We start from the raw sequence: 18,257 nt of genomic DNA on the forward strand, positions 1-18,257 counted from the left end.
TGCAAGGTTTAGGATTTGCCATGATATGAAAGCCTGTCTAGTCCTCTGGCTTGGTGGACTTATAACTCCATCATTTTTACAGGTAGAAGGGGCTTTAAGGTCTTCTAGTTCAACCTTCCATTACACATGTGGGAAGACTGAGGCCAGAGCAGGGAGGTAACTTGGCCACTGTTCCCCAGCAAGTGAGCGACAGCACAGGGATGAGAGCCCAGGTCTGACTTACAGCCCTGTGCTCTTTTCACCACATTTCTTGAATAATCCACTGTGCACCTGGCGATGCTTTTCTTTCAGAATCCAGCCACGACTTCGTTTTCTCTGCATGGCAGGCAGCCAAGCGCCTTGAACTTCTCCATGTTACCATTTTGCCCTCTGCAGAATGGGATATTAAAGTATTCACTTGGGGGAGGGGTCATGGGGTTTCGTCAATAAATGTTTGTGAATTGCTCTGAGCTATTTATGCCAGAGGGATTCCAGAAGTGAAAGACCCTGGTGGCCGTGGTGGTTGTATCTGAGCCTTTTTTGAGGTCTTCCCTCTACTCTGCAGAATTAAAGAGATGGTTTAAGTGATAAACTATTCCTTATGAGCTGTATTTGTGTTGAAAGCACAGCATGAGTTCCCAGCACGCTTCCTCTAGCACAACCACAGCTATGCACCAATCCTCCTGGGTTCAGAGATGGAACTTGGGTTAAATGCATGGAATTTATTCTTAGTCCTTTTCTTAATTACGACTTTTTATTTCTCTGGTGTTCTCTAGGGGAGGGGTTAGAGAAGAGAGGAAAAGGAAGAAAGAAAGGGGGCAGGGAAATATAGATTCAATGCTTTTGTTTTGTTTCTGGGCTGCTTGCTATCAGCAAAGTAGAGAGATTTAACGGATCTTGCCGAGAATGCAAGCCTCATTCCAAGGAAGCCAGAGCTCAGAAGACATGGAACAAATACAATGAAAACATAACTTGAGGTGAGGGCAATCGTTATTTGACTAATAAATTCCGTAGGCTGATAGTGAAAGACTGAACCTTTTGTCTATCAGTTAATTTAATAAACAAATAAAAGGGACTTTCAAGTTAAGAGAGCCATGTAATCCTGTGGAAGATGTTTCAGCAAATTGCTATGTAAAAACCAACACCATTGCTACACTAGGCTAGTCTTGCAGATTTTCCTCCTGTGTCCAATCTGGCATCTCAGAGCACTAAAACCCTACTCCCTCTTACGTTCTGGTCTTTCTTTTATTCAAAATCCAGGTCGGAAAATGTCCCCTGAATATTTATGTCAATGTCCTACCTTAGTGAATATTACTTAATACTGTGGCTCCTTTAAAGCATGTAAGTAGCTTGCATGTAAGTACATTCTGACTACTTTTTTTTAATTATCCTTTCCCTCCTCCTCCTCTTTCTCCTTTTATATCTTCTTTTCCTTATCCTTTCTATTTTTTTTTAATTTTCCTTTTTCACTGTGATCATTAAGCCATATGCTACAGGGTACTGTGCAATCTACAGAGGGAGAAAGTTAAAATAAGATGGGTTTTGGAGGTAAATATCCTACTTGTAAATGCTGCCTTGGTAGAGACTGGCTGTGGGAAATCAAGCAACTTCTGAAACTTTACAAGACAGATTTCTCATCTACAACATGAAGAAAATAATCCATTGTCCACAGGCTTCTTGTGAGGGTAAACAGACTGAGTAGATTAAAGCACCACAGTACAATCTGGGATAAATGGGCACTTGACATTTGTGAGTTTCTGCAATCTCCTTTGATCATGAGCTCAGATGGTAGGCACTGGGAGTTCTGTTTCATACAAGCACAATTATGGAGCCCTGGGGGAGTAAGTTCCAAAGGGATATCTCCCTAGATGATTCTACCAACCCTCATTTTCCCCCACGGAGCAATTAAACCATCTGACCAAGAAGGTAGTTAGCACGGGGTTTAAGGAAGGTAGGTTAAGGAGTAGGAGAGAACTGAATTGGAGCCCAGCTGCTCTACTGACTAGCTCTTGATGTTGGTCAAGTGCCCAACACTTGTATTTAAACTCAAGTATGTTTTCCACACGTACAAAAATGGAGACAACCTACTTCATTTACCTTTGTGGTGAGGAGCTAGCAAATGTTAAGCACTTCAAATGATATCTGGCACACAGCAAATTTGGTTACTGTTATTTTTTCAAGAATAGCCCCAAGAGGGTACATGCTTAGGACCATAGGACTTCAGTAGAGTAAGAGGGCACAGTGAGCTGGTAAAAACCATGCTTTTCACCTGGGTGGGTTAGGCTCCCACCTCTTTCCCTCACTAATAACAGATTAGTATTGCATACACAGTTCTGGCCCAGTGCAAGGATTACCTGTCCCATGAAGCCTTCTAAATTCCATCTCCCTCCTCTTGTCCACCTCCAGAAGTGGCCATTCTTCTCTCTGAGTTTCTGGGGCACTGTGTGTCTCTTGTCTGTGTCAGTGAGCACTCTCTGGTGCCACAGAAATTGATACTCATGCTTCATTTTTCATGCCTGGACATGGTATCCTTTAGGACACAGACCATGGCTTTTACCTCTTAATCTATCTTTTGGGACAAGTTTATCAATTCAATATACATGAAATAAACAGATTGGCAAATGAGTCATCTGTCAAATGCATACTATAGTAATTTTTTTGGAGTTTATGGGATTGTGAAGTAAATGTCATGAGCAAAGAGACATGATGAACCTTTGAAACTGATTTGGTCTCTTCAGAATATCCAGTAAGATATTTTAGACAGTAGTTTTAAACTTGGTTCAGCCATTCAGAAGGAAGTAAGACCATTGATTTGTATCAGACACCGTAGAATTCTTAAATTGCAAAGGGATATACTAAGTAAACAAAAGGAGAGGCTTGCTCATACCCTGAATTAGTTGTCAAAATTGTCAAAGTAACTCAATGTTGTTGATTGCTGTCAAAGAACAGACTGAAAGAAAAACAACTATGTCTCAAATGCCCAGCAACTGAGTGGGTAGAGAGGTTTTATTGTGCTGGTCATAAATAGTTTTCACAAAGTTAGAGTGCTTACTTGAACCCTGCTTGAACTAGCTGGATGCTGGTGCATTCACTACTGAGAGAAGAATTTCTTAAAGGGTTTGGGTTGCTCCCACTTCTTGTCATGGAGTCAGCCAATTTTTATGTCTGTTTATTACTTTGTAGCCCAGCTGGACCCCAGAAGGATGGGCTATTTTCCCCAGAAGGATGGAAAATAACACAAATGCACACAGTTACCAAAATGAAGCCAGAAATCTTCTGGAGCTTAGACAAACATTAGTCTTGTAAATAAATACATTATGAGACCACACAAATACTTCCTACCAGGTCTCTTCCTCAGAAGTCACACTCCAGATAGCTTCTTTAATTTGCCCAGGTTCATATAATTAAGACATATTTATTGATTACCTACTGGGTGACAAACCCTAAGCTATATATTCCCAGAGACATAGTGACAAACTCTCTTGTTTCTTCTACAGAGTTAGAGGTACATATGTAGAAACAAATGCACAAACCTAAGTCAATTAGCAGCAAATGCAAGCCAGGATGAATACCAGCTTGTGATATGTTGGGATACAGATTGCCAAGGAAGGGGTCTGAGTCCCATCACTGCTACCAACTTGCTGGATGAGCATTTATCCATTTATTCATTTCATTAAAAACAACAACAACAACTAAACATAGTAGGTCAGGCCCTGTGCTAGGCACTGAGGGTAGCTTCAACAAGTCATTTAATTTGTTTATTTATTCACTTATTGAAGAGTTAATGAAAATGTAATAGGCGAGGCACTGTGCTAAGTGCTGAAGAAAGGGGAAGACACAGTCCCTGCCCTCTGGGGGTCAGGCTCCTCATCAGTACAATGGTGTGTACTGGGGAAAAGAAAGTAGAGGATCCATTGGTCTCTAATGTTCTTTCTGCCAAGAATATGCTAAGCAGTGGATTGGAGGATATTATGGTTCATTCGCTAAGTGTCAGGTCAAGATGATGAATGGTCATTTGTAAAAATGGAATAAACCACTAGACCTTGAATTATAGACTTTTGCATGGGGATCTTCTGAGAGCCTCAAGCACAGCACTTGTATGCCTATGCATTCCTTTAGGAATACAAGTCAATTCTGTTCGTCTTCTTGTACATACACATCTCTTTATAGTTTACAATGCACTTCCATGTGGAGTTTTATTTGCTCTACATAACAACTTTATGAAGTCAGGGTTTTAACATGCTCTTTTTAAAGATAAAGAACCAAGTCCACAAGAAACTGAATTTACTTACTAGTGTCAGTGAGGAGTAGAGCTGGGACCAGAGCCCATGTTTCTGACTTCATAGTCTGGTTCTCCTGCAGTGACAGCAATATTCATTCATTTGGTGGGTGTATTTTGAGGACAAGTTATGGCTCAGGTTTTGAGGACCAGTTATGGCCCAGGTTTTATGAGGTCCTGGAGAAGTCCTGAAGAACCAGGCAGCAATTTCAATGGTTTTACAGTCAGCTCTCTAATTCTTGTCTGAAATTAACAGGAATTCACACTGCTTTGTAGTTTACAGTTTTACATAGAATTTAAAGCAAAAGCTGCTAGGATCAGAAGTTCCTTCAGGCCGGGTGCCAGGTAGGAAAATCAACACTTTGTGTGAAGTACTTGATGAAACACTTTTATATCTTCATATCAATTTGATTAATGCATCATATAGAATATTATCTCTATTTATTGACAATGAAGTATAGATTCTGAGAGACTCAAAATTATACACGTGGTTAATAGAATATCTATAATTTAATCCCAAGTCACTTGAGTCTCTGTCAAGCAGTGCTTTGTTATGTTCAATCCTTAAACTACACTCCATCCATCTGCACCATATTTAGTGCCTGGGAGGGTACTTTACCTAGAGCAGTAGCTCGTGTCAATTGGGCACAGAGTAATTTCATTTCTGAATGGGCCACACATTCAGCTTCTAGCATCTAACTGTCACCAAGTCTGAAAGGTATCTTTCCTCCTGGAAAGAAGAGCACAGTGAGAGTGTGAAATGTGGAGAAGGATTGAGAAGAAAAGATAAAGGAATTATACAGAAGGAGAGGAAGAAAGACCAAGGGCTTTGGGGTTAGATCGACCAGGGTTTGATCTTAATGTTGTTACTGACTTACGTACAACTTAGATCAAGCATTTCAACTTTCACAGATTATGGGGTGGTTAGGAGAATTAAGGGCAATAATATTTGGTGAACATTTAGCACAGTGCCTGGTCTATAAAAAAATACTCCATAAATATGAGTTATTTTTATTATTCAAGGCAGAGAGAAGGTAGGGTCAAATACAGGGTTGTAAGGAAGTACGTGATATATTTGGGGGGAACTTTGAGAAATATAGAAAGATAAAATATGGGGAATGTGTGGGACATAGGAGGAGATGAAGTTGAAATAATACTATGGTGCCAATTTCAAAGGGCTGTCAATGTCAATCTAAGAGATTAGGGCCTATTCTGTTGTTACAAGTGGGCTATAACCAGCTGAGTGTTTTATAAACATCACTGTGAGAATGGACTGGAGTAGGGAAAAGAGTATACATGGAGAGATGTTGAGAAGCTAGATCAAGATAGAGTAGCATTTACATGGCGCCTTTCCCCCTGACTTGCCTTTAACAATACCTGAAATCAAAAGCGCCTGATGCCTAATTGTATAAACCTGAACCCCTCTGAGTTAGTCCAAGACACAAATCTTCATCCACTGCATCGTTGGAAAGGATATATACATATATTTTATAATGCATTAGCCTTTTTGGACTGTGTCCACGTCATAGAGGTTTTCTAATCTATTTTGAGCCCTAATTGATTACAGCATTTGGAAAAATGCACAGCAAATTGCTCCATTAATCAAGGTAAATCAAGCTGATGTCATAGATGCTAAATATATGTCTTTGCAGTAATACTATTTGCATGACTGGAGCTAAAGCTGTTGTCAGTTTTTCCACTTGACAGTCACTGTCTTCTCATGAGACCATGGCTTAATCTCTAAAAGCACTTGGTGGTTCTTCTCCATGGCTGGGTTCTTGGGTCCTTCTCCCCACATTTAAGGCAAAGGTTGTAGGAGAGGGTGAGACTGCCTCCTTATGTACAGAAAAAGGCAGTGAGAAGGAGGTCATAGCACAAAGGCTAGGAAGATGGGGAAGGAGATAGGGAAGGCAAAGGATTTTATGAAACCAGAAGGACCCTATTTTATGAAGTCAGAAGGACCCTGGCATGTCACATTCCTTGGCTGATGAGAGAATTGAGGAATTAGAGCTTTGTTGAGATAGAGATCACAGTATGGAAGAAGGCACAAAGACCATCCAGTCTTCCTGATAAGACCTCTGAAGCACACAGATAGAAAGGAATTTATCAGAGATCACACAGAAAATTACTCTCGGAGCTGGTATTATACTAAGAATCGGGTGTCCTGACTCCTCATGTAGTGCTCTTTCTACATGATAGAAAGCATTGTTGTCTTACATTTTTTCTCCTTTCTCACTTTCATCCCTAATATTTATCATTATCTTAAGGTTCAATATGTGCCAAGTTGTGTAATAAGTGCTCAATATTATTACAATGAGGTAAGATTAATATTACTTTTATTTTCATTCTTAAAATGAGAAAATGGAGACTCAAAGAGGTGAAGTAACTTGACCAAAGGAGCTCTGCTACTCAGGGATAATGGAGATTCAAATGGGAATATCTAACTCATATGCCTGGGACTAAATCATCATGCTGGACATCATTATCACTTTTCCAGCATTTTTGCATACCTTTCTGAACAACTCTTTTAACCCGGTGCTATGGGCTTCATACACAGTATTTTTAAACTTCATAATGACACTGGCAGACATAGAATATTATTATCTTGCTAGTTCTGGTGAAGTAACTTGTCAAAGTCTCACAGTTAGGAGGTTTCAGAATCAGCCATCAAACCCATCGTCCATTTGGTGAGGCTGGGTAAGGTGGTATATGGCAATGGAGATAAGAGATGGAAGAACTAAAACTCAGCTCTTCCCCTGAATGACTGTGTCCTATTCCTGATGAAGTGACTTTGCCTTTTTGTGTCCCAGTTAGCACATTTGTACCATGAAGATACTGAGGCTGCCATCATGCTCTGTTATTCTAAGAGAAAGATCAACAGCAACAACAACAATAATAATTTAAAAAGCAGAGGAAGAAAGTAATCCAAGAAGACAGACGCAGAGCCTCTAAGATCATGAAGGATGATTAAAAGAACAAGTTGGGGATGAAAATGGGGAATCAGAAAGCTTATCATCAGGTTAGTTTTGGAAGGTCATCTGTGGCCTGGGCGGTGCCCCATTAAGACTAGATCAAAAGCAGGACAGTGATGCAATCGGCTGTTTGTATACAGATGCTGGCCTCCAAATCCCCACATGGGAACATCTGCTGGGGACAACCACTTAACAAATAAGCAGGCAATTAGGTAGCAGATCCATCTGTGCCAAGAGCATGGGACCACCAGCGGCGGGGAGGCTGCAGCAGAGGGGAGAGCCATGCTGGGAAGAATGCTTTTGCGTTTGTGCAAGAGTCACACTATCTAAGGCAGGAGAAAGGAGAGAGGACCAGGTGCAGAAGTCAGGAGAGAAGATCATTTTCTGCTTGTTCTGGGGCTAGCTCCATGATGCTCAGCCTTGACTATACATTATAATCACCTGGAGATTTTAAATATACTGATGCCCAGGTTGTACTTCAAAACAATCTAATCAGAGTTTCTAGGAAGGGGATCAGCATCGTTGTTTTCTAAAAGTTTCTTAAGGTTACCTAGGTAACTCCAATGTATAGGCAAGCTTGAAAATCACTGGTTTAAAATCTCTAAACCTACCACTGGATTGGTGGCAGAATAATAGCGATCATTATAAAGCTATAGTATTTATCCCACTATGCTTCTCTTTAGAATAACTGCAAATATGCATTTTGAGTTTATAAAATTCTCATTCCAGTGGTCTAGGACTCAAGCAAACTCCATGTATTCTCTAAAACAAATGCTATCTATTCCTATCTCTGCTACTAGCTGACCTTAAGCAAGCTGATTATCTCTCCAAGATTTCACTACTTTATCTCTTTTCTGATAGAGTTGTTTCTTGGGAAGCAAAATGTGATTTTGTAAAGTGTTTAGAACATGACTGTAACATAATAAATGCTTACTAAATGTTGGTTGAACTTCAATCTGATTCATGAAGAAGAAGAAGAGGCAAAGACAAAGAAAAAATGAATGAGGGAAGAAAGGAAGGAAGGAAGAGGGAAAGAAGGAAGGAAAGAAAGAAGGAAGGAAGAAAGGAAGGAAGGAAGGGAAAAAGAAAGACAGAAAGAACAAAAGAAAGAAAAAGACTTGAGGAGGTCATCTTAGGCATTGTTCTTGATGCTTTTCCTTTCATTAGACACCACAGCTAATCTACAACTAATCTTGCAGATATTATTCCCCAAATCTTCTAAGACTGTTTCTTTCCTCCCAGTGTCATTGCTAGATTTGACTCTCACCATTTCTCACCTGAACCATTGCAACAGCCAAGAGCTGACTTCTATATCTCCAGCCTTGTAGACTTAGATCTGTTCTGTACACTATAGATAGAGGAATCCACAACAAATAGATCCTATCTCTCCTCAGCTCAAAACCTTTCTGGGGCACCATGTTGTCCCCAAGAAAAACACCAAGCTCTTCAATGTAGCATGTAAGATTCTCTATGACCTTGTTTATGCTGACCTCTCCATACTCGCCTTTTTTGTAAAGCTCCACCTTTTCACCCTTTTCAGACCATAACCAAGTTTACATCCCAGCACTATCAATTTGCTTGTATTTTTCTCTGCATGAACTTTGCTGTTTTATACATCTGGCCTTTTCTTATGCTGTTTGTTCATTTCCAAATACCTTTTTGACCTCCACCTAACTAACATCTCTTTATTTCTTGAAGCTCAACTCAACTCATGTACTACCTTCTACAGGAAGCCCTCCTTGAATCCTTTTGTCTTGGTTTACATTACGTGCTGTACCTTGTTTCCCTCCTATTACAACATTTCACATTTTGCTGAAACTGTTCAAACACATTTCTGAATCTCCACCAGTAGATCATGAATTCTTCAAGGGCAGGTGCCTTCTCTGGTCTTTCAATGTATATGTTCATACACACATACACACACACATACACACACACACACACACAGTAAGAGAGCTAGGATATAGGGAATGTAGATGCATGCTTTAACTCATAGTAAATGCTCAATTATTTATGAAATGTCAGCCCAGGGAATGTGAAACACTGTAGGGAGCTTTGTAACCAAAGAAGAAGTTGTTTATTTTCTCATGTGTTCTCTTGCAATTACCCATGAGAGAAGGCCAGTGCTGGGAGATCTGAGTTCAAATTCTGCTGGTAGTCAGCTCCTAACTGAGGCCAAGGTCCTGAAGGCAGTCCTCTGGGAAGCTTTTGGAGACAGGGATGGAGCCATGTAGGAATAGATCTTGCCAGATTTCTTTCCTCGGAACCAAACTGGCTCTGAGTAATGCCTTTATGAGTCTGACCACATCCTCCCCTTTCATTGCCAAAAACAAGGGGCCAGAGATTAACCATAGCTCAAGCTCCAAGACTTCAGGGAAGGTGACTCGCTTGCTGGGTCAGGGCCATATTTAAGGAAGGCTCCTTCAACTCCTTTGGGTCCTAGACTAGACTGTGTCCTTCAAATCTTATAAAAAATGCACTGTCAACAGCCAGTCAGAAAATATTAATGAGGTGGGCAACATATGCCCACCAAAAGGGGAGGGTTGCAAAAATTGCTGAGACAACACTCAGGAGGGTGATATTTTTGAAAAATTTGCCCTCTATTTCTAGTGACTTTCATACACAGTTGCTGCTAATTCCCTCAATGACACTGGAAATACTTAAGATTCTATATTTGGTTTCACAAAATTAAGCATGATTTGAATTAGAAGAGATAGTAGTGATAATCTAGGCCAATCCCAGCCCTTTTGTTTTTCTGAAGAGATGTAGGGGATTTTATTTTTCTGGCTGCCCAACAATCAATGTCATCTTGTTAACCAGACTCCCGTTTTCCTTTGTGAGTTTGTGGTAGACAGAATTCTAAAATGGCCCCTAAGATTTGTGTGCCCTAATATATATTCCTTGTATGATCCTCTTTGCCTGAGCATGCACAGAACCAGTGGAATACAATGAAATGTCACTCTCATAATTAGGCTACTAATCAGTTGACTTAGTCTATAGGGAGATTATCCTGGGTAGGCCTGGCCTAATCAGATGAGCCTTTCTTTTTTCTTTTCTTTTCTTTCTTTTCTTTTCTTTTTTTCTTCTTTTCCTTCTTTTCTTTTCTCTTCTCTTCTTTCTTTCTTCTTTTCTTTTCTTTTTTTTTTTGAGACACAGTCTTGCTGTGTCACCCAGGCTGGAGTGCAGTGGTGCAATCTCTGTCCACTGACTGCAACCTCTGCCTCCTGGGTTCAACAGATTTTCCTGCTTCAGCCTCCCGAGTAGGTGAGATTACAGGCATGCACCACCAGGCCCAGCTAATTTTTGTGTTTTTAGTAGAGAGGTGGTTTCACCATGTTGGCCACGCTGTTCTTGAACTCCTGGCCTCAAGTGATCCGCCTGCCTCGGCCTCCCTAAGTGCTGAGATTACAGGCATGAGACATCACATCCGGCCAAGGTGAGTCTTTTAAAAGAAGGTGAAGCGTCAGAGAGACACTCTCCTGGCAACCTTCAGAATAAAGAAAGCTACTGTATTGTGAGAGAATAGCCTATGTGGTAAGTACATGAGGGTGGCCTCTGGAATTAACAAGAAACTTAATTCAGCCAACGACCCCATGAGCTTGAAAGAGTGCTAGGAGCCCCAGGTGAGATGGTAGCCTTTGCTAATGCCTTGATTTCAGCCATTTAAGACCTGAACAAAGAGTATAGTTACGCCATTCTTGGGCTCCTAACTTACAGAAAATGTGAGATAATAAAATTGGGTTGTTTTAAGTGGCTATGTTTGTAATAATTTGTTATAAAGTAATAAAATAAAAAGAATACAGGGCTCATTCCTTTACTGTTAGTTATTTGAACAGAACTACCTTACCCCCATTTCCAGGAATGGCATGTGACCACAGCTTAAGCTAAACATTGTGTTCTATTCTCCTGCCTACAGTGATTGGTTCAGAGTTAGGCATATGAGTCAATGTCTACCAGTCAGAAACTGGGTTAAGGCTTTTATAGAATCTGTTTAGGAAAGAAAAGTGCTCTCTTCTCTTTGGAATGGAAACTCTGGGCCTTTAGCTCTGGAGCTGATGTCAACCATATTGCTACCATGTGGATCTTGGGAATGAAGCCAACATGGAAGAGAACAGATTTGTGCAATGGAAAACAAACAAACAGATTTTTTGACATATTTTGAGTCCTGGATTAACCTGAGCCTAAAGAAGAAATTGCCTAGGGAGGTTTCAATTGCCTAAACATGTAATTTCTACAATTTGGTTTAAGACTATTTGAGACTCGGTTTTTGCCTTATTCAATAAAAAAACTCTATCTGATACATGGTACAACTTGGGGCCAGAGTAAAAATACGTTGATCCAATCACATAATTAGTAAGCTGCAAGTATGACATAAATGATACCAGGTTTTCTGATGCCTAGACAAAAGGACTCAATATTGCTTTATTGCTAGGCTGAGTACCTCCCTGGGAATCACACAATATTAATTTCCCAAGAAGAGAATACAATGATGACAATAGCAGCAGCAACAATAACAACTGTATTTCAATGAATGTTTATTTTGTGCCAAGTTCTTTATTATGAAATTTATATATAGCATTTAATTTTATATTTTCATATAAACCTTATGAATTTTGTATCTTAGTAATCTCTATTTTAAAGATGACAAAAGTGAAGCTCAGCAATATTTACTAAGGTGAATAAGGTCATATAGCTAGTAAATGGAGGAGCCAGGATTTAATCCTTATCTGTCTGGCTCCAGAGTTTATTCTCTTAACTATCATGTTAATTGTGGCTAGGATAAAACAATAACAAAACAAACCTAGGAAACAAATGCTTCTTTATTACTTCAAATTCATTGAAAGTATATACCATAAGAAATCTTTTTTTATTCTTACATATCCACAAATACTGGCGTGTGTTTCTTAGCCAATCAGCAATCAGATGCTTGAAGAAATCTTTAATCCCTAACATTGAAATATGAAAACTGCACATCTCTTATCCTTACTTCGTTTTACAAAGTATACAGGAAGTATATTTGGAAGAAAAAATATGTAACTTGATATATATAAAAGAAAAGACTAAGTAGCAGTTGAGATGCTTGCATTTAAGATCTAATTCTGCTCCCAATTCCCTGTGTGATCTTGGGCAAATCGCTTCCTCCCTCTTGGCCTCAGTTTTGTGATCTATAAAATGAAGGAATTTACATTAAAGTTTAAGAAGTTCTTGTGTGTAGAAAGATGTGTTCTTTTATGAAGACATTTTGGTGGGGCTCCAAGTATTTCCGACACTTTTTTTGGTTAAACCAACATATTCTCCAATTTGGATCCTTTGGTGGGGTTCTGGAACATCCCTGAGATATCAGACCACCGAAATGCCACTATGCCCAATGTATACAAATATGGTGCACATGTTAATTACTTACCTGTTAAGATATAACATTGCATATGGCATCTTGAATACTTATTAAATACACATTACAGATGAGGAAATAGAGCTACAAATAGGTTAAGTAACTTTACCAAGAAGCAAAGCATACACACAAGTCCACCTAATTCTAAAGCTTGTATACCCACCCTAGGGCAAATTGTTCCCCACCCAAGTCCCGCCCTGTAATAGCTTCTCGAGTTTTAATTTTTATATCTTCTTGTAAGTCACCTGAAGCACTTTCTGAATAAGACAGAACACAAATCAAAATGAAGTAAATTATATTGGTTTCCAGAGACAAGGCATAACAGTGCACAACGGGATAATGAGAGGGTTGGTTATTCTTAAATCAAATCTTCTTTTTTGGCTTCCATTTTTCCATTGAATGACAACAGTGCCTTAAAAAAAAGTAAACTTTTTTTTAGAACCATTTTAGATTTACAGAAAAATTGGAAAGATAATACAGAGAATTCCTGTATACCACATACTGTTTCCTTTGTAATTAAATCTTACACAAAGTGTGGCACATTTGTTGCAATTAATGAACCAATATTGTTATATTATTATTATCTAAAGCTTGTTCTTTATTCAGATTACCTTAATTTTTATCTAGTGTTACTTTTCTGTTCTAGAATACCAGAAAAATTACCATATTACCTTTAATCATGTCTTCTCAGGCTCCTCTTGGCCCCAACCATTTATCAGACTTTCCTAAGTTTTTGATAACCTTGACAGTTTTGATGAGTACTGGTCAGGTAGAACATGCCTAAATTTGGATTTTATGATGCTTTTCTCACAATTAGACTAGAGCTGTGTGTTTCAGGGAAGTAAGAGTCCATTCTCACGACATATTATGGGTACATATGATCAATATGGCTTATCACTGTTGATGTTGACCTTGATTACCTGGCACAGGTAAAAGAGTACTTTTTAAACTCTCTCTTATTTCCTCCATTCTCTCTCTAGAGGCTGCATGTAAGCACTGCTTTTCCATCAACCTACCCTAGATGGCTGGGAGATGTGATTTTACCAAGTAAGATTCTGTGCCAGTCTGGTGACTGGAGGAAATTTTTGGGACATGTGAAGAGGTTTATTTGGCTTTCCTGACAATTGCCTTTGTTGCCTCATTTTCTGTGATACAATTAGCCCAAGAGGCTACATTCTTGATCTGTTGAAGAGCCAATGGTTTTAAGATTAATTCTCTTATCATATAGTGTTTGTCCCTCTGCATTTGGTTTATTCACCTAACATCCAGGCTCATCCATGTTGTTGCACATAATAGTATGCTGATTTCTTTTTTAAGGCTGAATAATGTTTTATACACACATATATATATTCATCCATCAATGGACACTTAGGCTCATTAGGCTAATTCCATATCTTGGCTATTGTGAACAATGCTGTAGTAAATATGGGAGTGTGGATATCTTTTCAACACCCTGATTTTATTTCCTTTGGATATACATTCAGTAGTGATATTTCTGAATTGTATAGGAGTCCTATTTTAAAGTAAGTTTTTGAAGAATTTCTATACTATTTTCAATAATGACTATTAAAATCAGACTCAGAAGCAGAGTGTAGAATGGTGGTTGCCAGGGGCTGAGGGTGGAGGAAACGAGGTGATGTTGGTCAAAGGGGACAAACTTTCAGTTATGAGTACGTTCTGGGGGTCTAAGGCACACATGGTGACTATAGTTAACAATACTGTATTGTATACTTGAAATTTGCTGAGAGAGATCTTAAGAAACCCCATCACACCAAAAATAAAAATAAAAAACCTATATGAGGTGATAGATATGCCACATATTAATTAATTTGATTATGGTAATCATTTCACATTATTTACGTGTATCAAATTATCACATTGTACACAATAAATATATGTAAGATTTTGTCAAGTATACCTCAATAAATCTGGAGGTAAAATATAGATTATATTAGCAGTGGGTGGGTTGTAGTTTAGAGTTTGTTTTATTTTGTTTTGTCATAGGATGAGAGATCACGGGATATGAATTTTGCTTATGTTTCCCACTCAAAATACCAGGGACAACAGACAGGCTTTAGCCCTTCATTATAACAGCTTATATTCACATAGAACTTTACTTTTGTAAAGTGCCTTCACATTTTAAATGTCCCCTACAAAGCAAAGCAAAACAAAACATTGCTTAATACTTGTTGAATGATTGGATAAAAGAATGAATGAATGAATGAATCAATCAATCAATCAATCAACGTGTACAGTCCCAGCTCACGGCAGCACCATGAAGTAGATAAGAAAAAGAGTTTAGATTTAGATAGAACTGGATTTGATCCTTCCTCCACAGCTTACTGATTTTGAGATCTTAAATTTGTGAGTTAATTTCATGGGATCTGCTTCTCATTGGGTATTCAAACCCATCTCAGGATAAGAGAGAGTTCATTTCAATAATGTCTGCAGAAAAAACTGACAGGAAGGTGATATCCTATGCATTTGTTGGCAGGTAGAATTAGAGTATTAAGACATTGAATATTGTATGTCAACATGAATGCAACAAATGATTATAATCCCCTTTAAAATAATATTATGCAACAGAATATCCACAACAGGAAAAGTCTATTTATTATTATTATTATCATTATGGACATTTGACAAAAGAGGAAACTGAGACTCAGAGGTTAAGGAAGTTGCATATGGGAAGATCTAGGATTTGAACTCCATTTTGTCCGACACCTGAATCTGTGCACAAAAAAAGTAGATTGTAACCATGAACCCTTTCCTCTTCTGGGGAGAATTTCACTGTCTGATGTACCTGTAGTGCTCTGTTTGGGGACTGCTTTGAGTATGAAGCAGAGCTATCACTTTTAACGACTTAATCTACTCTAGTCTGAAATATACCAGATCCCTTCTAGAAGAGCAAAGGGAAACTAAAAATTCCCTAAAAATAGAAACCATTGTTTCTCAGAAGAAAAGTTCACTTTATAGACACACTGTAGGAATCGCTCTGGGGTTTGTTTTACTTTTTTTTCATTGCTTCTTTCTTTAAGGAAAATAGAGTCATAATTGCTAAGATTTATGCAGGAAAATTCACCCTAGAGATTTCAAACAAGTTTGCAGACTTTCTTAACCTCCTCAGCTACCCCCTTGGGGTACCTCTAAATTGCTGTCTCATTAAAGAAGAAGTGCCCTACCCAATCTTTGGGGGAGAATGCATTCAGCCATTTCTCAGATGTATTGTATATGTAAGAAACGGGCTGGAGTTGGGGAATCTTCAGGTATTAGATCATCTCATTTATTCCAACTCAGGGAGATTGTTCCCAGTTGGATATCTCAAGTGTTGTGAGTGGCGGCTAACCTGAAGAACGTCACATCTGTTATTTGAAGCCAGTCTTTGAGAAGCAAAAGCTACTGATGGAATGTTACTGCTTTTTTTTCTTTTTTAGATGATTTTCTGCAATTTCACTAAATGGTGGTAAGAAAAACATAGAGATCATAACTCTGGACACAGTATTAAGACTAAATTATGCTGATTTTATTATCTGATGCTAAAGTCAATGCAGACACTTTGTGCCCACTCTCTGTCCTTAGCTGTTGAGGGAGGGAGGAGTTGAAGAAGGAAGGAAAAGTGGAGAAATTTGAAAAGATGGAAGAGGATCCTTCCTCGTTTTTTTCTGACTTTGTAACCAGTGTTATCCCCATCCATCTCCTAACACAGCTCTCATTTTCTTCCCTGAACTTCTAGTATAACTGAGGATTTAATCTACTCAGACAGTGGTAGAATTGGTTGCATTTTCTCTTTTATTGTGTTTGCAGTGGGTGTACAACATGTCTTCATTAACTCTCCATGACATTCAGAATAGCTTGAGATAAAAAAAGCACTCAATCAAAAAGTAAAAAACAGTCTTCTGCCCTCCCATTTCCAATCACAAGCATCCCCTAGGGCATGTATTAATTACTGAAGATGAATGCTAGACCTTCATTCTCAGCAGGGTCCTTCAAATTTTATTGCTCTGTTGGGTCAGAAGATGGTGCTCCATCTTGCAAAATGGTAAGGAGTCTCAACTTCTTGAGGAAGTTCCAGCTAATAATGTCCTTTGTTACCGAGTGCCTACAATATGTCTAGCATTATTAGATTCTTTTTATGAATCAACCCACCTAATCCCAATATCTACCCTACAAGACACATTATTATCCCCATTTGCTGGATGGAGAAACTGATTCCAAACCCCTGACAATTTCAGTCCAGTAAATGGCTCTCTGTGGTTCAAAACTGAGGGGGGTCTGTAGTTCCTCAAAGTAGTCTGGTGTCAATGAAGACATTGCCACAGTATTTCCATTGTTGAAGCCTGTTGGGAATTGAGAAGATGGTTCTCAAATCCCAGTTCATGTATCAACACTCTGAGGAAGTTTTCTTGGCTGCAAACAAGATGAAACTGTTTTCTTTTTCATATTAAGTAGGGGTGGTGGGTGACTGTCCCAAAAGTAGGCAATTTTCAGGTGGAGTTAACCTGATTTTGCTTAACTGCTGTATTGCCAAAGTACCTTCCAGATAGCCCCATTTTCTCTCATTCTTGCTCTACCTCATCCGAGCAACTTCAGTGTCCCATAGATCAAGCTAAAGAGCTATTAAGAGCCCAGAAAGGCATCATTTATCACTATGTTTTCTTGGGAACACTAGTCTCAATTTTTTTATTGATTTGCTTGATTTTGGAATAACACATTTGAGAAACCCTATATGTCTCCCCTTCCCAAGTTTCATTTGTTATCTCAAGAAACATGTGCTTTTTGAAGATTTTGAGATGTTCTGCAGAAAAGCAAAACAAACACACAGAAGAGAAAACACAAACAAAAAACATGTTTACTTTCATTTCACTTCTAGCTCCTCTCCTCCCCTCTTTTGTTTTCTGCTCTGGAAACACCTGCTCATATCTCTTGGAACTATGGCTTTCCAGAGAACATCTTCAGAATTTCTCTGCCAAGGACTTTTCAAAGTTACCATCATAAATCCCAAATAAAATAAGGATTTTACTGATTCTCTAGATAGATGTACATTCTCCCTCTTTTGAAATCCTATGTCACTTTATTTTTACAGCTCTTTTGGCTTGTAGATTAAAGATGATAAATTAATGGAAAGAAACATGTAAAAACAGATTAAGATAATCACTATTTCCTATCTTATTCTTTTTTTGCTCTCGTTTTCTCTGATTACAAATAAATATATGTTCATTATATAAAATTCAACTACTATACAAATGTAGAATTCATATGACGCACCTTGGGTTATGCCAAGACTTAATTCTCCCACAACAGTGTAAGCTTCCATAATGGGCATCCTGACACCAGGAACATTGTAGATCTTTAGGAAAGGAGAGTAGAATATGGGAATGAATTCTACTTGTATTCACTCAATCATGAGCTTTGTACGAATACAGACCTAAATCCTACTCATTTTTGTCCCCCAACACCTTGCTTAGTGCCTAGTGCATAGTAGACTTCAATAAATCTATATATATATTTTTCTTTGAGGCAGGGTCTGACTCTGTTGTCCAGGTGGTGTGCAGTGGCTCGATTACTGCTCCCTGTAGCATCAACCTTCCAGGCTCAAGCCATCCTCCCCCGTCAGTCTCCTGAGTATCTGGGACTA

At 38.7% G+C, this 18,257-nt stretch overlaps 1 long non-coding RNA gene across 1 annotated transcript in view; it reads left to right on the plus strand.

Moving 5' to 3' along the window:
* The first annotated feature begins 893 nt into the window (after positions 1-893).
* LOC105376235 (uncharacterized) overlaps positions 894-18,257 on the plus strand; it is a 76,146-nt gene continuing 58,782 nt past the window's right edge. Inside the window, exons 1-2 of the long non-coding RNA XR_930270.3 lie at positions 894-956; positions 1,240-1,320. This is a non-coding gene — a long non-coding RNA (uncharacterized LOC105376235). The remainder of the gene's footprint in view (positions 957-1,239; positions 1,321-18,257) is intronic.

The sequence above is a fragment of the Homo sapiens genome, chromosome 9 (genome assembly GCF_000001405.40).
Source record: "Homo sapiens chromosome 9, GRCh38.p14 Primary Assembly".
In the NCBI taxonomy this organism is placed as follows: domain Eukaryota; kingdom Metazoa; phylum Chordata; class Mammalia; order Primates; family Hominidae; genus Homo; species Homo sapiens.